General features: G+C 42.7%; 1 protein-coding gene across 6 annotated transcripts, besides 2 other annotated features; it reads right to left on the minus strand.

Annotated features, from left to right (window-relative positions):
- Positions 1-911: 911 nt before the first annotated feature.
- Positions 912-16,670, minus strand: TEX48 (testis expressed 48). Of its 6 annotated transcripts, NR_163989.1 has the most exons (6): positions 16,513-16,670; positions 15,637-16,343; positions 6,198-6,305; positions 5,861-5,937; positions 2,684-2,815; positions 912-1,224 (listed from the first exon to the last, which is right to left on the minus strand). NR_163989.1 is itself a non-coding variant. In NM_001371884.1 (5 exons), the coding sequence occupies exons 2-5, from the start codon at positions 6,199-6,201 to the stop codon at positions 1,121-1,123; spliced, it is 360 nt and encodes a 119-aa protein (NP_001358813.1). In that variant the 5' UTR covers positions 6,202-6,305; positions 16,513-16,670; the 3' UTR covers positions 912-1,120. The 6 variants fall into 6 exon arrangements, 2 of the variants coding, with proteins under 2 accessions (NP_001358813.1, NP_001186162.1); NR_144867.2 differs by lacking the exon at positions 15,637-16,343; NR_163988.1 differs by lacking the exon at positions 15,637-16,343 and having other exon boundaries at positions 5,734-5,937.
- Positions 25,050-26,249: an enhancer, noted in NCBI's record as "P300/CBP strongly-dependent group 1 enhancer chr9:117452852-117454051 (GRCh37/hg19 assembly coordinates)". NCBI's record gives its function as "activates an origin of replication core promoter dependent on BRD2, BRD4, P300/CBP, MED14 and CDK7 cofactors, with strong dependence on P300/CBP, by STARR-seq in HCT116 cells {active_cell/tissue: HCT116}" and the evidence as "EXISTENCE:reporter gene assay evidence [ECO:0000049][PMID:35650434]".
- Positions 25,723-25,772: a silencer, noted in NCBI's record as "silent region_20217". NCBI's record gives its function as "represses an Ori minimal core promoter by ATAC-STARR-seq in GM12878 lymphoblastoid cells {active_cell/tissue: GM12878}" and the evidence as "EXISTENCE:reporter gene assay evidence [ECO:0000049][PMID:35858748]".

Below are 26,551 nucleotides of genomic sequence, written 5' to 3' on the forward strand. Positions count from 1 at the left end.
GGCTCAAAAGTCCATGCTGAAAAATTAACCCTAAAGATACACCGTATTAATCCGTTCTCATGCTGTTAATAAAGATATACCTTGGCCTGGCACAGTGGCTCACGCCTGTAATCCCGCACTTTGGGAGGTTGAGGAGGGCGGATCACCTGAGGTCAGGAGTTCGAGACCAGCCTGGCCAACATGGTGAAACCCCATCTCTACTAAAAATACAAAAATTAGCCAGGCCTGGTGGCAGGCACTTGTAATCCCAGCTACTCGGGAGGCTGAGGCAGGATTGAACTGAGTTCAATCACTTGAACTCAGGAGGCGGAGGTTGCAGTGAGCTGAAATGGTGCAAATGGGGAAAATGTAGATTAAACAATTGGTGACTCTGGGTAAAAGGTAAATGGGAGTTCTCTGTATTATTCTTGTGACATTTCTGTAAATTTGGAATTATTTCAGAAGGTATCCAAAAAGCTGTTTTCTCCTTCCTCTCTCTCTCTTTTTTCTTTCTTCCCTTCCCCCTTCCCCCTTCCCTTCCTTTCTTTCTTTCACGGAGTCTCACTCTGTTACCCAGGCTGGAGTGCAGCGGCGAGATCTCAGCTCATTGCAACCTCTGCCTCCTGGGTTCAAGTGATTCTCCTGCCTCAGCCTCCCTAGTAGCTGAGATTACAGGAGCACGCCACCACACCTGGCAGATTTTTTTATTTTTAGCACAGATGGGGTTTCACCGCATTGGCCAGGCTGGTCTTGAACTTATGACCTCATGTGATCCACCTGCCTCGGTCTCCCAAAGTGTTGGGATTACAGGCGTGAGCCACTGCGCCCAGCCAATAGGCTAAATTTTTTAAGCTTAGTTAGATGTGACAATATATTTAAAAATAATAAGACATTAGTTGGTAAGGGGGAAAGGAAAAGAGAAGGACACATCCTCTGGTGCAATCAAGAACTTTAATTGGAGGCAGCTCTTCCCATGGTGGCTTTTTAGGAGCTGGAGTGACTCTTGCTTGGTGGCACAAGGATGGCTCAGATGTCTTCTCCTCCTTCAGGGGAGTTTCCGAATTAGTCTTCATGACTCCTGTCCACCGCCCTCTTCCTCATGGAGATGCCCCAGCAGCTGTGCAGCCGCCGGCTAGAATGCTCAGGGCCTCCCAGTGAGGCATGGCTGGAATGGCCAGTGCTCCTGGCAGTAGCGGTTTAAGTTTCTCTTGTAAAAATTTCTTTGGGAAGCATATGCATTCAGATCTGAAAGAAGAAAGGAAAAAATTATGCTGGGTGAAGGCCTTTGAATTGGGCTTTGATGAACTGTTTTGGTTGTTTGTATCCATTGCTGATCATTCCTCAGCTTCTTGAATCTCAAGGGACCCAAGGCAGACCCTAGTCTAGGACTTGGAAGTCTTTTGTGATAGGAGGAGTTTCTTGCAGTGTATTTTGCATTGTGTTACGTTGGTGGCTTCAGTGACAGTAGGCTGTCTTGCAAAGCACAGTGATATGGAAGGTAGGAGACTTGGGCCCATCCTGGCTCTGACACTTACGTCATTCCCTAGTGCACTCGTGGGAAGTCCCTTTCCCTCTGTGAGCCTCACCCCTATGGGGGGGTGGGAAGGGCAGAAGGAAGGAGTGGGCGAGCTAGTGGGGTTCCTACCTTCTCAAGCTTGATTCAAGCAGAGCTGTTCCTCTTTGATCTTTTATAGAAAATGGACTCTGTGAAATGCTGTTTTCAAGGGGGTTTAGTTGTTAGGGGAATTCAAAATGACTGGGTTGGATAATCCTTAGTTCTCAACAGGACTCCTGGGGTGGTTGTGAGTTATGTGAGACCACCTGGGGATAGAACTGGCGCCCAGCAATGTGGCTGCATTTCTTCTTCCTGGGCTGTGCCACTGTCCTGGGATTGGGCATCTGTTCTTCTGTGACCCAGAGGCATTTCACCCCCAGTTGAACTACACTCAATCCACAAGTGTTTTCTGGCATTGTTTACTTGCCATGCACCTGGCTGGATCTGGGGGCATAACAGGGAATAAAACTGATGTGGGCCCCTGCCCTCCTGGCACTTACTGTCTAGTGGCCAAAGTAGACATCAAGTAAGCATATGAAAAATACACGTGTAAGATGATGCCGCCAGGTGCGGTGGTTACACCTGTAATCCCAGCACTTTGGGAGGCCAAGGTAGGTGGATCACTTGAGGTCAGGAGTTCGTGACCAGCCTGGCCAACATGGTGAAACCCTTTTTCTACTAAGAATACAAAAATTAACCAGGCATGTTGGTGGGCGCCTGTAATCTCAGCTACTCAGGAAGCTGAGACAGGAGAATCACTTGAACCTGGGAGGTGGAAGTTGCAGTGAGCTGAGATTGGAGACTGCACCACTGCACTCAAGCCTAGACAACAGAGGGAGACTCCATCTCAAAAAAAAAAAAAAAAAAAAAAGATGATGCCACAAAGCTTTGAAAGGAAAGCATGGATGTTTGCCCTTCCCCCCAGACCTGCTCCTTCTCATGCACTTCCTAGCTTGGAAGATAGTGGAGTCAGGTCTTAGCCTCTAGGGTCTCCCCAGTGTGCTCTGGAATATGACTGGGGCTGCTTGATGGGAGCAATTCCATCTCCCCATCTCGCTTAGCTGAAGTATCAATGGGGTCTGGTTATTAGGACCAGGCTCCCTGTCTGGGAGTTTCTGGTCAGTGTTAGGACCCCAATTTGGGACTCACCCTCAAACTCACTGCTGCTGGAGGAAGTGCTCTTTTTTGTCTGGATCAGGGGTGTTCTCGAAGGCAAATGGGAGACTGCGTTAATGCGCTTGGGATTTTGTCTGTCAAGCTCATCCTTCTGAAGCAGCAAATCTGGCAATGAGAATTCCACAGGGTCACGTGGGGGAGGCTTAGGTGAGATCACGGAAGTGAAGATGTTTTGCAAGCTCTGAAGCAGCGCACACAGGCAAGTGGGGGTTATTATGGGGTGGGGGTGTACCTGAAACTACCACCTCCTGTCCTCTGAGGGCTTCCCCTCACAAGCAGGTGCTGGATTCAAAGTGTGTATTTTAAAATAATACATTGTATTTGTATGTATTTATGGGCTACATATGAAATTTTGTTACATGCATAGAATGTGTAATGATCAATTCAGGGCAAAGTATGTATTCTTTTTAAAACATTAACTTTTTTCCATTTATAAATGTAATGCATACGCTTTATAGAAAAGTTAGGAAATATTGAATAGTATAAGGGAGGAAAAAGTGCCCCAAACATCTCTTCCCCAAGTTATTATCACAGTTCCAGTCTTTTCCTATGCATATTTTACATAGTCCATCATATCCTATGTATTATGGATGAATTTTACTTATCTATTTATTTATTTTTTGAGACAGGGATCTGCTCTGTTGCCCAGGCTGGAGTGCAATGGTGTGATCATAGCTCCCTGTAACCTCAAACTCCTAGGCTCAAGCAATCCTCCTGCCTCAGCCCCCCGAGTAGCTAGGACTACAGGCATGTGTCACTGCGCCCAGCTAATTTTTAAATTTTTTTTTGTAGGGAGCGGGAGTCTCACTATGTTGCCAGGCTGGTCTTGAACTCCTGGCCTCAAGTAATCCTTTAGCCTCAGCCTCCCGAAGTGCTAGGATCACAGTTGTGAGCCATCTCACCCAGCCCTGCATTTGACTTTATTCATATACATTATGGCATAAATATTTTTCTCATGTCACTAAATTTAAAAAATGGTTGTACAGTATTCTAGTTTTTGAATAATGTAAGATTTATTTAACCAAAGTTCCAATGTTGTATTATTTATTTATTTATTTATTTTTTTGAGAGAATCTCACTCTGGTACCTAGGCTGGAGTGCAGTGGTGCAATCATGACTTACTGCAGCCTCGACCTCCTGGGCTCAAGTGATCATCCCACCTCAGCCTCCTTAGTAGCTGAAATTACAGGTGTGCACCACCATGGCTGGCTAATTTTTTTTTTTTTGAGATAGAGTTTCGCTCTTGTTGCCCAGGCTGGAGTGCGATGGCACGATCTCGGCTCACCGCAACCTCCACCTCTCGGGTTCAAGCGATTCTCCTGCCTCAGCCTCCTGAATAGCTGGGATTACAGACATGTGCCACCATGCCTGGCTAGTTTTGTATTTTTAATAGAGACGGGGTTTCTCCATGTTGGTCAGGCTGGTCTCAAACTCCCAACCTCAGGTGATCCACCTGCCTTGGCCTCCCAAAGTGCTGGGATTAAAGACATGAACCACCATGCCCAGTCTGGCTAATTTTTTATTATTTGTAGAGGTGGGATCTTCCCATGTTGCCCAGGCTGGTCTTGAACTCCTGGGCTCAAGTTATCCTCCTGCCCCTCAAAGTGCTGGGATTATAGGTGTGAGCCACTGTGCCCGGCCCAGATTTTGCTACCATAAATACTGTTGTGATGAACATTGTTGTATATGAGACTTTGTCTTTATACACTTCTAGGTTTCTAGAAGAACAACAAAGAATTTTGTCAATAGTCTGAGCTGTGTTCTGTGATAGGCAGCTCTGTCATTTATTAGCTGCATGCCTTAACTAATTGCTTAACCCCCACCTGCCTCTTCATTCATATCTGCAAAATGCTATGCTCAATTTGAATACTAATGTCTGCTTCTTAGAGTTATCATGGGGATTAAATAATATCATTTTACTGTTAAATATGAAATATACACTCTGAAACAGTAAGGGATTTATCTGATCACAGCTGGGTCCCCAGTGTCTAGACAGTGCTTTGCATATTATAGAGTTTCATTAATTATCATCATTCTTACCTTGGGAAAAGGCATTGATATTTTTAAGGTTCCTGATTTTTATTGTGACTCTACTTCCAGGGAAAGTATTTTAAAGACCCTCACATGTGGATTTCTGTCAAAATACATCATTGTATTATCCTGTCTCTCAGTGGGACTCTGCCACGTTCCTGGCCATCTGTGCTCACCCCCTCCCACCTGTGTGAGTCCTAACTTTGGCTGATTTTGACAATAGTGCTTCTTTTTTTTTTTCTGTCTGAAATTGTTGATTTTGATCCCTGATCTTCTCTGCTTGATCTCTTTTCATGGATCTTCAAGAAGGTTTTGATTACAAACTGAAGGCCAGGGTGACTTCTCTGTCTCTCTCTCTTCCCTTGACATGGTAGCCTAGGAAGTCTCATATTCCAGAGGCTCTGGCTAAAGATTTAAAGGGGGGTGGCTGGTTTGTACTAGACTTTGTGCAAGCAAGAAATACATTTTTATTTTGTAAACCATTGAGATTTCAAGGCTTATTTGTTTCAGCAGCAGAACATACTCTATCCTGATCAATACCTATATATTTTTTCTGCATGTTGAGTGCCTACTCTGTGCCAGACCCTGAGCTAGATGCTTATTTATATTGCCTCACAATAATAATGTATTGTGAATATCCCTGTTTTAGAGGCAAGGACAGTGAGACTCAGGGAGGTCAAGAGACTTGCCCAATTTCTGTGGCAGAGCTGAGGTTTGAACTAACATGTATTGCCCCCAAAACAGGGATCTTAACCACTATTTTTATAGTCTTTAATCCAGTGCTTCTCAAACTATCATGTACATTCAAATTTACCTGGAGATCCTGTTAAAGTGCCAGTTCTGATTCAGTAGTTCCAGAGCGGGGTCTGAAAATGCATTTCTAACAAGCTCCCAAGTGATGCCAATATTGCTGGCCCATAGACTACACTTTAAGCACAAGAGTTTAAGCTCTCTTGTTTATTGGTTTGAGTACTTAGCCATCCAACACCCACCTCATTTTAAATTGGAATTATCACTCAGTGATAGTGATGAAGGCAGTTTGGGGGTATCCCAGCAGGCAGAGAGTGAGCAAAGTGAGGTTTAGAGAGGCCATGCAGAGTGTCCTTATCTGATACCTACTTTGGGTCGATGGCTTGTGCTCCTGGGTTTGACTGGGAACCTTGGAGTCATTGATGGCATAGGGCTCCTGACAGTCCCTGCAGCATAAACAGAAGATCTTCAAGATCAGGTTTTGGTGGGCTGCTGTTGGAGGCAAAGGAATGAGGGGCATGGGTTCCGGAATCTGAATTCCAGATGCCTATTGGAAATTGACTGTGGTGGGGGTATCATTGGGTCAGCCTCTCCCAAGGCATTAATATAATACTCCTCCCCTCTCCCAAATCTTCTGTAGCTTCCCATGGCCAGCAGATCCTTCTGCCTAGGCCATTTTTTCCTATTCTGTACAAAGTTTTCTTACCCATGGAAAGGAGTTGAAACTTCTACTCTGCCAGCTTTGTCTGCAGGGGTGCCTTGTTGAATCAGCCAGTCTTGAGTTTGAGCCCAGTTCACTGGGCTGGGCTGTTTCCTAAGTAAACATAAGACCGTGGCTGAAAAATGCTAGTCCTTCACCTGTGTTCACACTCCAGATAGGATCTAATGACAGCAAAATCCCACCTCATGCAGACATGCACATAAACATGCTCAGGTTTCAGATAGCTCTGTGTCCTACCCCATGAACAGGTGCATGTTCTTAGGTGGATTCTTTACCCTTTTTGAACTTCACTTTTATCACTTGAAAAATGAGAATAGCAGTGCCTACTTTGCAGGAGTAAAGACTCATATATATGAAAAGTAGCTCCTGTGAAGCTAGGTATATGGTAAGTGCTCAATCAATGGTCATTCCATTTTCCTCCCTTCTCTTTATGTAGCTCACTGGCTTCCAATGATCCCAGCTGGTCCAGGTCCTATGGAAAGGAAGCATATGGACTTGTAGGTTTAAATTCTGGTTTTGCCACTAATTTGCTGGAGGGCTTTGGGTAGGTCCATGCTTTTTTCTGTGTCTCAGGCTCCTCGTCAGTAGTAAGAAGTTAGGCTGGATGATCTCCTCAAGGATCTTTCTAGTTTTGAAGGTCCAGGATTATAAGGCCTTGCTTTAGTCCCAGATCCCTTTATTTGTGTATCAAGTTTTTAGATCTCTGGATACATTCTGTTCTCACTCCCCTTCTTGTGGCAAAACCCTCTTTAAAAGGAAATTCTTATCATGGTATTGTTTAGGCGTCCCTCACAATACCTAATTCACTTCGCTTTGTGAGTTTTGCCTTCATTATAGGCACTTGAGTCCCATTTTCTCTACTGCCATACCCTGGCCTAAGCCACCATCATCTCTTGCCTGAATTCCTGCGATAGCTTCCTGACTGGTCTCCTTATTTCTCTTACCCTGAACTTCCTCCATAATTAATACAAAAGTTGGGGTAGTTCTGTTAAAATATATCATGTCACTCTTCAGCTCAAAACTTCCAAGGATAGGAAAAAATGGGTATAGTAGATGGAGCGATATAATATGGAAGGAAGAAATGGAAACTCAAATAGAATCAAATAGAAATTCTAGTTCTATAAAAACCAGTATCTGAAGAAAATATGTATTGGGTAGGGTTAACAACAGATTGGACAAAGCAAAAGCAATGATCAGTAAACTTGCGAAAAGGTCAATAGAAATTATCCAAACTGAAACAGGGAAAGCAAAAAAGATTTTAAAAGGATGAAGAGTACCCCACTGACCTTGCGGGATGCTACCAAGCTGTATAACATACGCGCGTTACTGGACTCTCAGAAGGACGAAGGGCAGAAAAAATATTTGGCAATAGTGGCTGAAAAGTTACTAAATTTGATGGAAAGCATCAACATAAGTATTCAGTGAGCACCAAACATGAAAAACAAAAAATCACAACGACCGGGCGCGGTGGCTCATGCCTGTAATCTCAGCACTTTGGGAGGCCGAGGCTGGCAGATCACCTGAGGTCAGGAGTTCGAGACCAGCCTGACCAACATGGAGAAACCCCGTCTCTGCTAAAAATACAAAACTAGCTGGGTGTGTGGCACATGCCTGTAATCCCAGCTACTCAGGAGGCTGAGGCAGGAGAATCGCTTGAACCCTGGAGGCGGAGGTTGTGGTGAGCCGAGATCACGCCATTGCACTCCAGCCTGGGCAAGAAGAATAAAACTCTGTCTCAAAAAAAAAAAAAGAAAAGAAAAGAAAATCACACCTAGGCACATTTTAGTCAAATGGCTAAAAAGTAAAGAACAGGCTCTTAAAACAACTGGAATAAATAAACATGAAAGAAAGAAACTGTAAACCTTTCACTTCATATTCCATGAAAATATCCTTCAATAATTAAGGCAAAATGAAGACATTATAAGATAAACAAAAATAGAGAGAATTTGTCTTTAGAAGGCCCAGGCTGTAAAAAATGCTAAGATCGAAGGAAAATGATACCAGATGGAAATTCACATTTACAGAAAGGGATGAATAGGATAAGAAATAGCAAATATGTGGGGGTAAATGCAAACTTTTTTTTTTTTTTGAGACAGAGTTTTACTCTGTCACCCAGGCTGGAGTACAGTGGCGTGATCACAGCTCACTGCAGCCTCAAACTCCTGGGCTCAAGTGATCCTCCTGCTTCAGCCTCCCCAGTAGCTGGGACTACAGGTGTGCACCACCACACCTGGCTAACTTTTGTATTTTTTGTAGAGACGTGGTCTCCCTATATAGCCCAGGCTGGCCTTGAACTCCTGGGCTCAAGTGATCCTCCCACATTGGCCTCAAAAGGTGCTGGGATTACAGGAGTGAGTCACCGCGCCTGGCCAGAAAGATTTTTTCTCTTTCTTTTCTCCAAAATTCAGTGGTTTTGCATATTCCTCAGAAGAAAAACCAAAGTTCTCACCTGGGTCTTAAGATACTCTGTAATCTAATCATCCTTCTTCCCTCCTGTCCACCCACAACCCTCATCACCAACTCTGTCTTCAATTCCTCCAATTCCCCAATTCCATTTGCCCCCCCTGCTGAGTTTTAAAACACAGCAAGCTCCCAACTCAACAATTTGTGCTTGTTTTACTCTCTGCCTGGAATTCAGTTCTCTTAGATAACAACATTCTGTCATTACCTTCAAGTCTTTGCTTCACCTTTTCTAGTGAGACTTTCTCTGTTGTATTTAACATTATAACCCCCTTGCCCAGCACCCCAGCACTTCCTAATCTCTTCCTTGTTTACTTTTCAAACATTTTCTCTTTCTTTTTTCTTCTTTCTTTCTCTCTTTTTCTTCTTTTTTTCTTTTCTTTCTTTTTTTCTCTTTTCTCTTTTTCTTTCCTTCCTTCCTTCCTTCCTTCCTTCCTTCCTTCCTTCCTTCCTTCCTTCCTTCCTTCCTTCCTTCTTTCCTTCTCTCTTGCTCTCACTCTCTTTCTTGACAGGGTCTAGCTCTATGCTCAGGCTGGAGTGCAGTGGCACAATCATGGTTCACTGCAGCCTTGAACTTCTGGGCTCCTCCTGCCTCAGCCTCCTGAGTAGCTGGGACTACAGGTGCATGCCACCATGTCCAGCAAATTCTTTTTTTTTTTTTTTTTTAAGAGAAGGGGTCTCACTGTATTGCTCAGGCTGGTCTTGAAATCAAGTGATCCTCCCATGTTGGCCTCCCAAAGTGCTGGGGTTACAGGTGTGAGTCACCGTGCCCAGCTTCATTTCCTAACACTCTACATAATTTGCTAAATTACTGTGTTGAAGGTCTGCTTCTTCCCACTAAATTAGAAGTCACATGAGGTCATGGATTTTAGCTGTTTGGTTTACTGCTCTATTCTCAGTGTCTAGAGCAGTACCTAGTGCAGTGTGGGAAGTCAATAATTGTTTGTAGAATAAAAATTGAGGGTGTTTGTAGAATAAACTAGCATTTATTCTTGTCTTGAGTAAAAGCACTTGCAGGCCCTGGGGGCAGTAGAGAGGTGGGTGGTAGTTTTTGTGCCAGGAACATCACAAGCTGTAGGACACAGCTTACCTCATTCACATGCTAAGCTTACTCTGATGGTTTCATGAGTCAATTTTAGTTCTGCTCTCTGTTTACTGGTTGGGACTATTTTTCTTCCCTGTCCACTGCAAAGCATATCTATCTTCTTCCCATGTTCCCTATTTCGTGGGATGATCCTATTATTCACTCTGTCTCTAGAGTCAGAAGCCTGCCAGCCTCCTGCCATCTGCTCGTGTTCATCAGTCTTTGAACTTTACTTTCCAAATATCTCTTCAGTCTGTCTGCCCAGCCAATCCTTTGCCATTTCCTTCACCGTAGTGTAAGCCACCATCACTTCTCACCTGGACCACTGCTTAAACTTTCTCATTGGTTTGTTTGCCTCCACCTAAAGCTAGAGTTATCTGGTAGACATGTAAATCCTATCTCTCTTCTGCCCCAACAACCCTCTGCCCCACCAAGGGGGTCCCCAAGTCTGCAGATCCAACTCCTTTTGTGATCACCACTGTTATTCTCTTCATCCTCATCTTCTCTGGGTTGCACTCACCGCCCTACAGCCATAAGAGATGCTGTATAGGCAGCTTCCCCAATCACCTTTTACTGAATGGACCCTGTTCACATCCTGTTCCCTCTACCTGGGATGTTCTCACCTCAATCCTTGAGTCATCAAACTCCAGGATTCAGCTCAGGGGCTACAGGAAGGCATGGGATAAGTTAGGAGTCCCTCCCTTGTGCTCCCACAGCACTCCCCTGCTGGCCCACCATGTTTTCCTGTACACAGCCTGTTATTGTACAGTGACTGCCTAACTCATGGTAAATGCTTAATAAACACTTGTTGAAACGTTGTCTTGTAACTGCCTCTTGTTGACAGTCTGGATACTAGTTCATGAGCTTTTTCCTTTTTCTTTTTCTTTTCTTTTTTTATTTTTTGAGACAGGGTCTCACTCTGACACCCGTGCTGGACTGTAGTGGCACCATCAGGGCTCACTCCAGCCTCATCCTCCCAGGTGCAAGCGATTTCCCTGCCTCAGCCTCCTGAGTAGCTTGGACTACAGGCTCGCACTACCATGCCCGGTTATAGTTTTTTTGTTTTTGTTTTGGTAGAGATGGGATTTTGCCGTATTGCCCAGGCTTATCTCGAATTCCTTAGCTCAAGAGATCTCCTGCCTCAGCCTCCAAAAGTGCTGGGTTATAGGCTTGAGACACTGAGCCCAGCCAAGCTTTTTTCTTTTTTTTTTCTTCATTTATTTCACATGTATTTACTGAAAACCTGCCATGTTCCAGGTACTGTTAGGTGCTGGAGATATAGCAGTGAACAAGACACAGGATAGACAAATGTCCATGGAAGCAGGGACAGTATTTTATTCACTTTTTTTTTTTTTTGAGATGGAGTCGCGCTCTGTTGCCCAGGCTGGAGTACAGTGGCGCAATCTTGTCTCACTTCGTGCTCCGCCTCCCGGGTTCACGCCATTCTCCTGCCTCAGCCTCCCGAGTAGCTGGGACTACAGGCACCTGCCACCACGCCTGGCTAATTTTTTGTATTTTTAGTAGAGACGGGGTTTCACTGTGTTAGCCAGGATGGTCTCGATCTCCTGACCTAGTGATCTGCCCATCTCGGCCTCCCAAAGTGCTGGGATTCCAGGCGTGAGCCACCGCGCCTGGCCTTTATTCACTTTTGTATCCTCAGCACTCAGCCCAGGGATGGGCACAGAATAGGTACTTTATACATATTTGTTGAATAAACACATGAACCTTCTCTGACTGTTGGAAAAAAACTATGCCAAACAGATCTCCTTCCTCCCTTCCACTAACTGATTTTTAACTTTCTGCACATAAGCTGTTCCTTGTGGTTAGATACGATGCGGGCTAGACACATACAGATGTCACCATTGTGTGGATTTTTTGGTCAAAGTGGGGGCACTCACTAGGTCCATTTAGCTCCAATCTCCAATAGTCTTTTGGATCTGCTGCCAGGTGAGGTGTTTTTGTTTGTTTGTTTGTTTTTTTGTTTTTCCCTAGACCTAGTGTCAGTGTCATGGGATTTTTTTTTTTTAACATGATTTTAGCTCTGATGTATTTCATTGAGTTCTCTTTAGTGGATTTATTTCATTTTCCTATAATTTATAAAGAAATAGAAATTTATACAGGCAGTTAGATCTTTTGTTTTGGAGATACACCATTTAGCAAATATCCTTGCCATTAATCTGCTTCGTATTCTGCTACTTGCTTTAGTTTCAGTTGTCTTCATCCACTTATAAAAATGCTTGCCTCACGGGGTTTGGCTTTGTTCCAGACTGCCTTGTGTATGTTGAATGTAGAAGGATGCACTTCATAAGAAAGGAATGGAAGCATAGCTCTGACAAGCCCCCACCATGAGTCAGCCCTGAGTGTCTGGAGTTTTACTGGAGTGGTAATTGATTTGTCTAGAAGAAATTGCTAAAACCTGGACTTGGGTCCCTCTAAACCTTTGTCAGCATGTGTTCTGTCTTGGTAAATCATAAAAGAAGGTCACTTTTTTTTTTTAGCTTATATTCGGGAGTCAGTAATTTTCAGGTTTTTGATCATGTGGCCTCTTTTAGGCTCTGCTTGGTCAAGAAATTCAAGACACTGCACAAGTAGAAACTGTTTATCAATTGTAGCGTGCTCTTTCCTGCTTGTCGTGGTCTCATCTGCATTAAGGTTGTTGCCTCTTCCTGGAAAAACTCCGTATATATACTCTCACTATAGGTACTCTCATGTATTTGTCTTAATAAATGGCAAAAGTTCACTAGATGACTTAGGATTACTGTAGCCATGATGACAAAGTTTTGATGTCAAAAATCAGATTTAAGAGGAGCTCTAGAGAAGAGAGAAGACAAAAATGCCAAACATAAATAGAAGGCTTCTTTGTCTGGAATGCTATGGCCTCAGGAAGAAAAAGATAAAAAAGACCTTACTCTTACTCAAACCTTCTGACACCTGTTTTCTTTGCTTCTGTCTTTCTCTCTCCACCCAACTTGATCTTTACTACCCACGTATACTCCTCTTACTCCTTCCCCTGGCTGCCCAAATAAACTTTTTCAGGGAGCATTTTTCTAGAGAAGAACAATCACATTGCACAACACCCACCTAAAACTTCTGCACTGAAGGTAGATCAAGAGAGGCCGAATTTAAACTCTGAGTAAGAGTTGAGTTGGGTAAAAATAGAATCTTCCCAAATTTCAGAACAAAAGAAAGTTTGTTTTGTATATCCTGTGTAATTCAGGATTCTGTTCGTTACTTATTGTCTTGGACTATCATATTTGTACCAATTAGTTCATTTCGTTGTTGACCTTTAGGCCAGGCACAGTGGCTCACACCTGTAATCCCAGCACTTTGGGAGGCTGAGACAGGAAGATTGCTTGAGTTTTGGAGTTTGAGACCAGCCTGGACAACATACCTCATCTCTACTAAAAATTAAAATTTAGCTGGGCATGGTGGTGTGCACTTGCACTTCCAGTTACTCAGAGGCTGAGGAGAGAGTATTGCTTGAATTTGAGAAATCAAGACTTCAGTGAGCTATAATCATGCCACTGCACTCCAGCCCAGGCAACAGGAGATCCTGACTCAAAAAAAAAAAAAAAAAAAAATTGTTGACCTTCAACAATGGGGAAAATGTTTAAGAGTAGCAGGATGAAAAAGGTCAGAAGATTCAAATAACCTATCTATGCATAATATTTTTAAGCATGGACTTGAGAGGGTAAGAAAAATAGGAAGTATGCCACATGAAACTATTTTAAAAGATTTTCTCTTAAGGGTGGATAGGGCAAAGATTCAAGAATAACAAACAAAATGATGAATCAATAGGTGACTTAATAGACTTCAGGACACTTTCAAAGGACATTCTGGGGCAAACAAAAAGTGTAAGTAAAAGGAGCCCTTTCTTTATGCAAAAGCTCATATCTAAAATAGAGGATTTAGAAAAAATCAATTGGAATGGGAAATTCCATTAGTGTAGATATCTTGATCATTTTCCAAGAGTCCTAAAATGTTAACTAGAAATCGAGATAATCTTTTGACCTACTAGATAAAACAACTGGCCCCTGAAATAAAGACAGGACCCAAATCTCCTCTGTTCTTTAAGAATTTGGAGTCTGTGGAGAACACTTGCACTTACTGTATGCAGAAAGGCCATTAGAAGAACTAATGTTCCATGTCAGAAGGACAGCTGTCCATATCTGTCTACTGAGTCTTTCTGAGGAGAACTTTGCACTTAACATTTTCCTATTTTGCCTCTAAACTCCCAAAGGGCATTGTCTATAAATATAAATGAACAGCTATACTGCTTGCTTGTTGATATGGTTTGTTTCTTATGTGGAGATCAGACTCTTCTATTCCAACTATAATTAAGACTAATTGTTCTGCATGATGAATACTTAGACCATTCCAGTGCATGATTCTCCAGCACCCACGGTGGACTATGTCTTCTTACACAGAGTCTGAAGGGATGAAACCCTTCTTGGGGGTTTAACTACTAGTAGATGAAACAGACTTCTGAGGATTCTGAGTTGAACAATTTAAAGTGCCTTTTTTCCCCTCACCTTGACTGACACAGCAAATCATGTAGCCCACACCCTAGGGTACACCTGACCAATTTAAAATCCTTAGTTTGAGTAATTATGGATCACAGAAACCTTCGGGTTTTATTTTAGCTAATTAGGGGAGTCTGCACCATTGCTAACACTCCCGTTGTGCCTGGATTAATATCACAGGTGAGGTTAATCTATAGCTAAGCCCAAAGAAAAAGCAGCCTGGCTATCTAAGGTAGATGGTCATGCCAGGGAAATCATGGGGCATGACTCCAGAGAGGCTTTCAGATCTTTTTGAAAATACTTTTAATTGTCATTGTCCCTTTTTTTTTTTTTTTTTTTTTTTGAGATGGAGTTTTGCTCTTGTTGCCAGGGTTGGAGTGCAATGGTGCGATCTCGGGTCACTGCAACCTCCGCCTCCTGGGTTCAAGCGATTCTCCTGCCTCAGCCTCCCGAGTAGCTGGGATTACAGGCATGCACCACCACGCATGGCTAATTTTAGTTTTTAGTAGAGATGGGGTTTCCCCATGTTGGGTCAGGCTGGTCTCGAACTCCTGACCTCAGGTGATCTGCCAGCCTTGGCCTCCCAACGTGCTGGGATTACAGGCGTGAGCCACTGTGCCTGGCCTTAATTATCATTGTCTTGCATCATTCAGGTTCTGTTGTCCAGAGAGCTGAATGCTTTTATGTAGCCTCTGGTTTGACAAATGGTGAAACAAATGATTCAAAGAAAAAATGAGAAGAAATGAGGCAGACTGATACTCAAAATGAAAACCAGATCTCTGTACATGGAAAAATGGAACTGTGTTTTCAAGAAAAGCCAATGACAGTGGTGAAGATCTGGACAATCTTGGAGGGTCTTTCCTGCACCTTTAGTTGAGGGAGACCAGAAGGCAGATAATGAGAATTAAAAAGAGAAGCTCCCACATTCCTAGGTGACGATGGATTGCCCTGTAACCACGGTAACAACGAATCCCCAGAACCTGTGTGACACTCATTTAATCTATTAATGAAACTCCCTTGGTAACCATTCTAACAGACACATGCCAGTAGGTACATTTCATAGCTAAAGGTCTACCATTCCTAAACACTGCTGCCTCTGAAACACCACCAGTCCACGAACTCAACACCTCCCAAAGCCCCTTATGCATCAGCCATGAGCTTTGTTCAGAGACTTTGCCATACAAGCACAGTTCTCCCTTGTTTAACCAGAAATAAATTCAGTTTTTGTTTCATGTAGTGAATGCAGGCATCTTCCACCAAAGCAGCTTATGGATATACAAGAAAATGTAGTTATTCAAATTCTCTTTTTCTCTCTTTTTAATGCAAATGATAGCTTACTATACACCACGTTTTGCACCTTGATTTTTTTCAATTAAAAATAAACCGTGGAGATCGTCCGTATTATCAGCAGCGATCTGAAGCGCAGGTTTGTTGACACCCCGTGCTGATGCTCTCTCCACATCTTTACTAGAAAATTTTGCAAGAAAGAGGGTAGTAGAACCACTTTCTCCTCTAAGTGTTGACAGCAGAGAGCTTTGAGTTTTTGAACCCTCTTCAAGAAATGAAAAGGCTCTTAGGGAGAGCAGTGTATCAGTTACAAGCACATTCTCTGGGGGTATAATTCTTGGAGATCTACTGTTAGCTAGGAAATTTAGAATTTATGACCTCTTTGAATCTCTGTTTTCTGACCTGTAAAATGGGGATGAGAATAATAGTATCTACAATAGAAGGTAGTTCTGAGGATTAAATAATGATGGAAAGTGCTTAGCACAGCTTTCTGGTGTGTCGTAAAGGCTTAATAAATACAGATGAAGGTTCTGATGCTGATGAATATGTAGGGAGATGCCTAGGGGATGTGTGGCACTTCTTGCACTACCAGTGACCCCCTCTAGAGGGAAGCAGAAACCAAAGAAGAGGGCCCTTGGGTTGTCCCCAGTGGGTATGAACTTCAGGTCTCTAGTGACCCCATTGCACTTTGATCAGAAGAAAGATGAATGAGGTCAAACAGGAAGGCTTCTGGCGCTGCGGGCGGGGGTGGGGGAGGTCATTCAGCACAGGTGGAGACTGGGACCCAGAGAGAGAGAGAAACAGTGAGGTTAGAGCAAATGAAGGATGGGGATTGCTTCTTGGAGCAAAATGAATAGGTGTCCAGGAGTGGTGGGGACATTGTGCCTTTTAGTACAGAAAAATTATCACCTCCCGCCCTTTGGTTTAAACTGTGAGCCCCACTCACCTGCAGCTGGCAGAGTAGACAGAAGGCTGTCTGTGATGTCACAGAGCTGGGGAACCAGGGAATGTTGGGGCTGGGATGTTTGGACTGGACCACAACAGCGAGGAGGAGGGAGAAGTTCTGCTGAGCACGATGCCATGCTGGCCACCAGACTGTATACTGGGGCACAAGTCCTGGGGCCTCAGGAAGCACCTAGAGGATGGCCAGAAGGGGGCAGTACAACACTGGATGCTGTAGATCTGGGTGCCATTCTGTCTCTGTCCGCCCACTGGGTAGTAACCTTAGGCAAAGTGACTTCACGCTCAGGTTCTCCCTCTGCAATATGGGAATAATAATAATTTTTTTTTCTTTTTTGAGACAGAATCTCACTCTGTCACCCAGGCTGGAGCACAGTGGTGCAATCTTGGCTCACTGCAGCCTCCGCTTCCCAGGTTCAAGCGATTCTCATGCCTCAGCCTCCCAAATAGCTGGGGCTACAGGCATGCACCATCACGTCCGGCTAATTTTTGTATTTTTAGTAGAGACAGGGTTTCACCATGTTGGCCATGCTGGTCTCGAACTCCTGACTTCAAGTGACCCCCCCCCCCCCACCCCACCACCTTGACCTCCCAAAGTGCTGGGATTATAGGTGTGGCCTTCGCCTGGCCAGGAATAATAATAATTATATGTCCTGTTTGCATTTTTAAGTATTAAATGAAATCAGGTAAACATTTAACATGGTATCTAGATGTAGTAAGCACTTTAAGAAAGGGTAGTTATTAATAACATATGCAAAAATGAAGTGACATTTTCTTCCCTATTTATTTTTCAGAAAAGAAGGAATCACTTTGTATTGGAGTCCTGACAAAATCTCTCAGCTTATGGGGCACTCTTTCCATTCCTTTATTTAGGACAACCAAGTACTATTCATATATGGGGAAGCCACATTGGATTAACATGTTCTCAATCAGTGCTATCATTTGATGCACAGAGAGGTCACTGGATACAATAGAAACAGAAGAAAGCAAAGGAATTCAGCACAGCTGTGGGGTCATTCATGTGGTTGGGGCGGGTGATGTGACTCCACAGCTGTGCTGAATTCCTTTAATAAATATTTGATGGTGAGTTAAACAGCCTTTGAAAGCTCACAGGTAAAGCCACATTCTTTTTTTTTTTAAATTATACTTTAAGTTCTAGGGTACATGTGCACAATGTGCGGGTTTGTTACATACGTATATATGTGCCATGTAGGTGTGCTGCACCCATTAACTCATCATTTACATTTGTTATATCTCCTAATGCTATCCCTCCCCTCTTCCCCCCACCCCACGACAGGCCCCGGTGTGTGATGTTCCCCGCCCTGTGTCCGATGTTGCCCGCCCTGTGTCCAAGTGTTCTCATTGTTCAATTCTCACCTATGAGTGAGAACATGCGGTGTTTGGTTTTCTGTCCCTGCGATAGTTTGCTCAGAATGATTAAAGCCACACTCTTAAATGGTAATTGAAGGTTCTCCATTTTGGCTGCAAGTGAGATTCACTTGAAGTGTTTTTAAAACAAAGAATACCTGGGGCCTAACCCCAGATAAATTATAATTTTGGTAGGGTGTGGAAACTGGGTAGCAGTATGTTTACAAAAATTTCCAGGTGATTCTTGAGTATAATCAAGAACTGCTGAATTCCATTGTGCAGGTCATTATATACAGGTAAGCGGTGGTTCTCAGATCAGGCTGTATATTAGAATCATGGGAGGAGCTTTAGAAAATGCCACTCCTAGCACCTGCTCCCAGTCAGTAAAATCACTATTTTGGGGGCAAGGGCCCAGGTGTCGATAGATTTTACAGCTCCCCAGTTGATTTTAATTCGCAGCCAGCATTAAGAACTACTGATTTATAGAGGTTTTTTTTTAATCATAAATTTCATTGATGTGATACAAATGGATCCTTTTTAGCTTGGGATGAGCTTTTCAGGAACAGCATTATTTATATACAGATTCAAAAGCATTATTTAAAAAATAACTTAGAAATGAAGATAATATATTCTGAAAACCTGTGCTAGATGAGGTTAAAGATGTGTATGAAGCATTTGAATGAAATTGTTTCAGAAAATGAAAGATTGAGGATAGTGATATAGTTTGGCTGTGTCCCTACCCAAATCTCCTCTGGATTTGTAATCAAAATTGTAATCCTCACGTCGGGGGAGGGACCTTGTGGGAGGTCATTGACTCATGGGGGTGGTTTCCCCCATTCTGTTCTCCTGATAGTGAGTGAGTTCTCACGAGATCTGATGGTTTTATACGTGGCAGTTGCTCCCGCTCTCTTCTCTTTCACCTGCTGCCATGTAAGATGCGACTGCTTCCCCTTCTGCCATGATTGTAAGTTTCCTGAGGCCTCCCAAGTCATGCAGAACTGTGAGTCAATTAAACCTCTTTTCTTTATAAATTACCTGGTCGTGGGTATTTCTTTATAGCAGTGTAAAAACAGACTAATATGGATAGCAACACAGGTATTTCCAAATTAATGTATTTTATATAATATGCTCTGGCAAACACATATCAGGTACTGACTACTTATAAGTTGATGCTTGATTATTTCACCCATAGCACTAAATGTGTATATATTCAAATTGGAGAAAATACTTAAAATCTTTGCATAAAGAAACTGCCTTCTGTTTGGGGTGGTTTACCATTCAAGCATGTATGGTGTGATTACTTTCTTCTCTTTGGGTCTGGGAGGGGAGATGGGCCAACAGGCTTCTGTATTAATTTCTGGTTCAGGTAGGGAATAATGAAATCTTGACCTGATGCACTGGGCTAAGACAAATGGGTGGATTTTTACTCTGGTGATTTCACAGTGGGTAAGTTCTGGGGTCCGAGTACCTGGGTGGGACGCTTGCCTTCCTAACTTAATGCATGACCTGGGCCATAGCCATTAACCCCTCTAATTCTCAGTTTCCTTAACTTTAAAATAGAAATAATAATAGAGTTGGTGTGAGGAGTAAATTAGACCAGCCATGGAAAGCTGTAAATGTAGTGCCTGCTAGAGAGGCAGCACTCAATAAATTTTCCTTATTATTATCTGGTGTTGAGAGTGAAGGATTAGCTTTCACACCTGTGGATGTGAAATCAGGGAATTCAATTTAGGTTTTCAAAAGTTTTATTTTGTTTATTTTTATTTTTATTATTTATTTATTTATTTGAGACAGATTCCCGCTCAGTCGCCCAGGCTGGAGTGCAGTGACTCTATCTCCGCTCACTGCAAGCTCTGCCTCCTGGGTTAACGCTGTTCTCCTGCCTCAGCCTCCCGAGTGGCTGGGACTACAGGCGCCCGCCATCACGCCCAGCTAATTTCTTTCTTTCTTTTTTTTTTTTTGTATTTTTTTTAGTAAAGACGGGGTTTCACCGTGTTAGCCAGGATGGTCGCGAACTCCTGACCTCGCGATCCGCCCGCCTCGGCCTCCTAAAGTGCTGGGATTACAGGCGTGAGCCACCGCGCCCAGCCTTGTTTTTAAATAAAGTCTCGATCTGTTGCCCAGGCTAGAGTGCAGTGACATGAACTCGGCTCACTGCAGTCTTGACCTCTTGGGCTCAAGCCATCCTCCCACCTCAGCCTCCCGAGTAGCTGGAACCACAGGCACACACCACCACGCCAGGCTAATTTTTAAATTTTGTGGAGAGGGGGTCTTGCCATGTTGCCTAGGCTAGTCTCAAACTCCTGTGCTAAAGCAATCTTCCCACCTCTGCTTCCCAAAGTGGTGGGATTATAGGCTGAGCCACTGTGTCTGGCCCAAAACTTTATTTTGAAATAATTACAAATGCACAGAGAGTTACAGAGGTAACTTTGTAGCTTTCTCTCTTTAGAGAGAAACAAAGAGGTAACTTTGTAACTTTCTCTCTGCAGACAGTTCCCATGAACCCATCCCCCAGCCTCCTCCAATGTTAACATCTTGCCTTACTATATTACAAGATCAAAATCGGAAATTAACATTGGCCCAATCTACAGAGCTTATTCAAAGTTCAGTCGTTATTCAAGTACTCATTTGTGTGTGTATGTGTATAGCTGCATGAAATTTTATTACATGTGTAGCTTCGTGTAACTACCACCACAATCACGGTACTTAACTGTGCCATCACCACAAGGTTCCTTTCTGCTTCCGCTTTATAGCCACACCCACTCCCTCTCCCCAACATTTCTAACCCCTGGAAACCACTAACCTGTTCTACATTCTATAATTGTCATTTCATGAATATTACATAAATGGACACATGCAGTATATATGTATATTTCTGAGGTTGGCTTTTCTCAGCACAACTTCCTTGTTCCTCATATACATGAGGAACATGTATCAGTAGTTAGCTCCTTTTTATTGCTGAGTAGTAATCCATAGTAATGCATGTACCAAAGATTTTTTGACCATTCGCCCATCGGAAGATATTTGGATGGTTTGCAGTTTTTGGCTATTACAGATAAAGCTACTGAGAACATTTGTGTACTAGTTTCTGGTGAAAATGTTTTCATTTCTGTATGATAAATGCCCAATTTACTATACAATTGCTGGATTGTATGGTCAATCAATTTTTAGTTTTAAAAGAAACTGCCATATTATTTTCCAGAGTGACTGTACCATTTTACATTTCCATAAACAATATATGAGTAATCACATTTCTCTGAATCCTCTCCAGGGTTGTTTTTTTTTTTTTTTTTTTTTTTTTTTCCACTATTTTTTACTTTTGTCATTCTTATATCTTGAGCCCAGGAGGTTGAGCCTGCATTGAGCCATGATCGTACCACTGTACTCCAGTGTGGGTGACAGAGCAAGACACGGTCTCAAAAGAAAAAAAAAAAAAAGAAAAAAAAATTTCACTGTATGGATATATCACATTTTGTTTATTCATTCATCTGTTGACAAATGTTTAGGTTGTTTTCACATTTTGGCTCTATGAATAATGCTGCTATGAATATTTGTGTGCAAGTTTTTGTGTGGATGGATATTTTTGTTTCTCTGGACTATATACCTAGAAGTGAAATTGCTAAGTCATATGATAATTCTATGTTTAACATTTTGAGGAATTGCCAAACTTTTTCCAAAGGTGCTGCACCATTCTGCAATGCTGCCAGCAATGTTTGAAGGTTCCAGTCTTTTCACATCCTTGATGACACTTTATACTGTCTGTCTTTTAAATTTCAGCCTAGTGTGTTTTAAGTATTATCTCATTGTGGTTTTGATTTGTATTTTCTTAATGACTAATGATGTTGAGCATCATTTTATGTATGTATTGGCCATTTTCATATCCTGTTAAGAGAAATGTTTATTCAAATCCTTTGCCCTTTAAGAAATTGAGTTATTTGTCTTTCTAGTGTTGAGTTTTAAGAGTTTTAAAAATATATTCTGTATACTAGACCTTTGTCAGATCTATGGATTGCAAATATGTCTTGCATTTTGTGGGTTATCTTTTCATTTGCTTAATAGTTATAGTGTCCTTTGAAGCAAAAAATTTTAAATTTTGATGTTAGATTTATCTTTTTTTTTTCTTTTGATGCTTGTGCTTTTGGTGTTACATCTAACAAACCAATTGTCGAACCCAAGGTCATAAAGATTTATTTACTCCTGTCTTCTTTTTTTTGAGATGGAGTCTCACTTTATTGCCCAGGCTGGAGTGCAGTGGCGCGATCTTGGCTCACTGCAACCTCCACCTTCTGGGTTCAAGCGATTCTTCCACCTTAGCCTCCCAAGTAGCTGGGATTACAGGGGCACACCACCATGCCTGGCTAATTTTGTGTATTTTTATTAGACACAAGGTTTCACCATGTTGGTCAGGCTCTTCTTGAACTCCCGACCTCAAGTTATCTACCTGCCTTGGCCTCCCAAAGTGCTGGGATTACAGGCGTGAGCCACCACACCTGGCCTAATTTACTCCTATGTCTTATTCTAAGAGTTGTATAGCTTTAGCTCTTACACGTAGGTGGATCATCCATTTAATTTTTGTATATGGTGTGAGGTGGGGTCCAACTTCATTGTTTTGCATGGAGCTAACTAGTTGTCCCAGCACCATTTGTTGAGAAGACAATTCTTTCCCCCATTACATGGTCATTGTACTCTTGTTGAAAATCAACTGATCATAAAGGTAAGAATTTAAATTTAGTTCTGAGCATGTTGCATTTGGCTCTAAAGGATACTCAAATGGAGGTTTCCAGAAAGATCAAAGGAGATATTGAGTGTGATAGATTGAACTGTTGTCCCCAATTCTTTATCCCTGCCTATGGTTATACCTTTGCCATGGCCTCATTGTGGACAGTATGTGTTTCCATGCTTTTGATTTTGGATTTGACTAAGTAACTTGCTTTGGCCAATGGCTTGTGGGCAGAAGAATAGTATTAGGGTTCTGAGCTTATGCCTTAAAGTTCCCCTATGCTGCCAATTATGATCTTGCTCTTCTGCCAGTGTCAAGAAAAAGTATGCCCCCCCTAACCTATTAGTCCCTGGAGGACAACGAGAAACATAGATCAGTCATTCCAGGCAAGCACCCAGCTAGGCCCAGCATTGACCCGCATGCTACTCACAGATAAGAAAGTGATGAAAACTGGGTGTTGTCACTGAATTTTTGGGTGGTTTGTTACACAGAGTGGATAAGTGAGATACAGGGCACAAGATCTCTTTATATCTACGAAGTACTGTCCATATGAGAGGGAGGACAGATCACTCACTCCCCTTTCTTCTTTTTTAAAAAACTTTTAGGTTCAGGGGTACGTGTGCAGGTTTGTTATACAGGTAAACTCACACCTTGGGGGTTTGGTGGACAGATTATTTCATCACCCAGGTGCTAAGCATAATACCTGATAGGTATTTTTTCTGATCCTCTCCTTCTCCCCACCCTCCACTCAAGTAGGCCCCAGTGTCTATTGTTCCCTTCTTTATGTCCATGTACACTCATTATTTAGCTCCCACTTATAAGTGAGAGCATGCAGTATTTGGTTTTCTGTTGCTGCATTCATTTGTTAAGGATAATGATCTCCAGCTCCATCCATATTCCTGCGAAGGACACGATCACATTCTTTTTTATGGTTGCATAGTATTTCATCATGCATATGTATCACATTTTCTTTATCCAGGCTACCACTGATGGACATTTAGGTTGATTCATGTTTTTGCTATTGCAAATAGTGCTTCAATGAACATAGATGTGCATGTGTCTTTATGATAGAATGATTTATGTTCCTTTGGGTATATACCCAGTGATGGGATTGCTGGGTTGAATGGTAGTTCTGTTTTTAGTTCTTTGAGGAATCACCACACTTTTCCATGATGGTTGAACGAATTTATTTCATTCCACCTTTGTTTTTGAACAAGAGCTCTAATCAATCAGAGATCTTGGGACATTTCCTAGGTGAAGACATTAGTGAAATATTTTCCTGCAGTGTGGGGCCCAGTCCCCTGATGAGAAGTGGGGAAATTTAAGGCCAAACATGGACATGACATTCTATAGCACTGGTTCACATCATGAAGGAATGACTCCCTTTTTAGTCCTTTCAATTACCTAAATTTAGCTGGATGCTACCCCCTCAGTAATGCCTCCAAACAGTTGCTGACCTCCCTCACAATAAAAAGAGAACAGCAGGCAGGCTCTGAGTCTTTGGCAGGTGATGGCATCAGGCTAGAAGTTAAGCTCATTGTTTTGTTTTTGTTATGTTTATTTTTGTGTTGATCTTTTCTATTTATGGTAGTGGTATGTACCTTTGTTTTAATGTAAAAGAATAATATGGTTTAAAGAAAAATATTAAGGAAATAAGAGTAGAGGTAATAGAGTCACAGTGATATGTGAATAAATGGGGTTTAGAAAACCTCTTTTGAGATACATCCTTGTGTTAGGGTTCTCCAAAAAACGGAACCACTAGGATCCTGCTTTCCTCTCTCTTTCTCTCTCTCTCCGTGTCTCTCTTGGTGTCTCTCTCTCGGTGTCTCTCTCTCGGTGTCTCTCTCTCTCTCGGTGTCTCTCTCTCTCTGTCTCTCTCTTTCAGTGTCTCTGTCTGTCTGTGTCTCTGTCTCTCTGTCTGTCTGTCTCTCTGTCTCTGTCTCTCTGTTTCTCTGTCTCTCTGTCTCTCTCTGTTTCTCTTTCTCTCTGTCTGTCTCTCTCTGTCTCTCTCCGTCTCTCTCTGTCTCTCTCCGTCTCTCTCCCTCCCTCTCCCTCCCCCTCCCTCCCCTCCCTCCCTCTTTCAGTCTCTCTCTCTCGACCTCTCTCTCTTTCTGTCTCCATCTATATGTATGTCTTATCATCTACAAGCTGGAAAGCCAATGGTGTACAATCCCGCGTTGAGTCCGAAGGCCTGAGGACTGTAAGTGCTGAGGGCAGGTGAAGGTGGATGTCCAAGTTAAGGCAGTCAGGCAGGGAGAAGTTGACTCCTCCCTTCCTCTGCCTTTTTGTTCTGTTCAGGCCTCCAACAGATTGGATGCTGCCCACCCCCATTGAGGAGGGCAAACCAGTTTACTTAGTCCACTGATTCAAAGGCTGATCTGTTCCAGACATACCCAGAAATAATGTTTAACCAGATAGCTGAACATTTCATGATCCTGTCAAGTTGACTTATACAATTAACTATCACAGCCATTGTATCCATGACCTATATACTAAAAGTTATGGGATGGTTTTTTGTTTCCCTCCTAAGAAGCTGTGGGAGGGCATCATTGTGGATGTAAACTCGTCACTTGTCCATGGTTTCTGAGCTGGAAATTTGGTTTATTCTTTCAAACTACTTCAGATTCTTGATTTCCAAGAATCCTAGCACCTAAGCTCTCTTCAAAGCCCCAAGGTGATTGTCACAAACAAAACCCTTCTGTGGCTCATACATAATTGATACTTATAAACCTTTTGGAAAAAAAATCATCCTCTGTAATGTAATTTCCCATTCTAAAAATAGGCTTGACTTTTGGATTTCTGCTTAATAAAAATATATTTTTCGATTACACTGGAGACAGAGAAAAAAATTTCCAGTATCAGTTTGAGGCTTGTGAGAAAATGGAGAGAAGACAAGTTTCACTGCTCTTGTTGAAGGCTTTGTATTAAAATTTTGCCACAGTGGCTGAGTTCTGAGTGTGGTGGGGCTGGGGAGGAAGGAAGAGTGAACACTGTCACCAGTCATTTAAGATGTCATTTATTACTCAGATCTGACCCCAAATGCGAAGGCTGCAGCAGGGAGATGAAGCTGGCATCGCTGTACACGTTTGTGGTTAAGGAGCGCATCTCTGAAATTCTATGGTTTCTCTGAGTAATCACTGAATCATCTCTTTATTACAGTGAAACTTCACAGTGCCATTATTTGCTGTGGAGCGAAGCTAGAGAGCATCACTCTGAGGCTTCTTGGGCAGCATTGGAAAGGGCTTAGGTTCCGAAGAGGTGGTGCCCGTCCCTTTCTAAGGCTCTCTCCCCCAATAGATGGCCCAAGGAACAGTGTTACAGTGCAGGTCATCTCTCAGGAGCACTTGGTGGGCATTCCTCTTGGTGCTGTGTTTTGTGCTTCCCTTTTGGAAGAGAAGGAGGAAGGAGCCGCCGCAGTGTAGGGCAGCATGTGATTCAGAGTCAATATGGCTTCCCTTTCCTTCCACACATGCTTTCTTGTCACCAAGTCATCTGGAATGTCCATGGCCAAACATACTACCCACCCCTAGTTGGATTCAGACTTCTGCCTTTCCCATGCAGGGCAAATCACTTTCCTTCTCTGAGTCTCATTTGCTCATCTTTAAAATGACACCCACAATTCCCACCTTGCTCAGGGCAAAAAGAGCTGGCATGTATGAAGTTACATTTTGAACTGCATGGTGTGCTGTATCTTGGAAAGACTTCTGTGCCTTCCCCGATGACACACTGTGCTGTCTTTCGGTAGCCACCCACCTCTCTATGCTTTTGTGCTCATGAAGCTCAAAAGCTTCTTCATGATGATTCTATACTGAGCCTTATAACTGATTTCAAGACAGTGTGCTAATTTTCAGAGATATGGAAGAAATTTTTTTTTTCTTTTGTTTGTTTTGAGACAGGGTATTGCTCAGTTGCCTAGGCTGAAGTGCAGTGGCACTAT

This window comes from Homo sapiens, chromosome 9 (genome assembly GCF_000001405.40).
Source record: "Homo sapiens chromosome 9, GRCh38.p14 Primary Assembly".
NCBI lineage: Eukaryota > Metazoa > Chordata > Mammalia > Primates > Hominidae > Homo > Homo sapiens.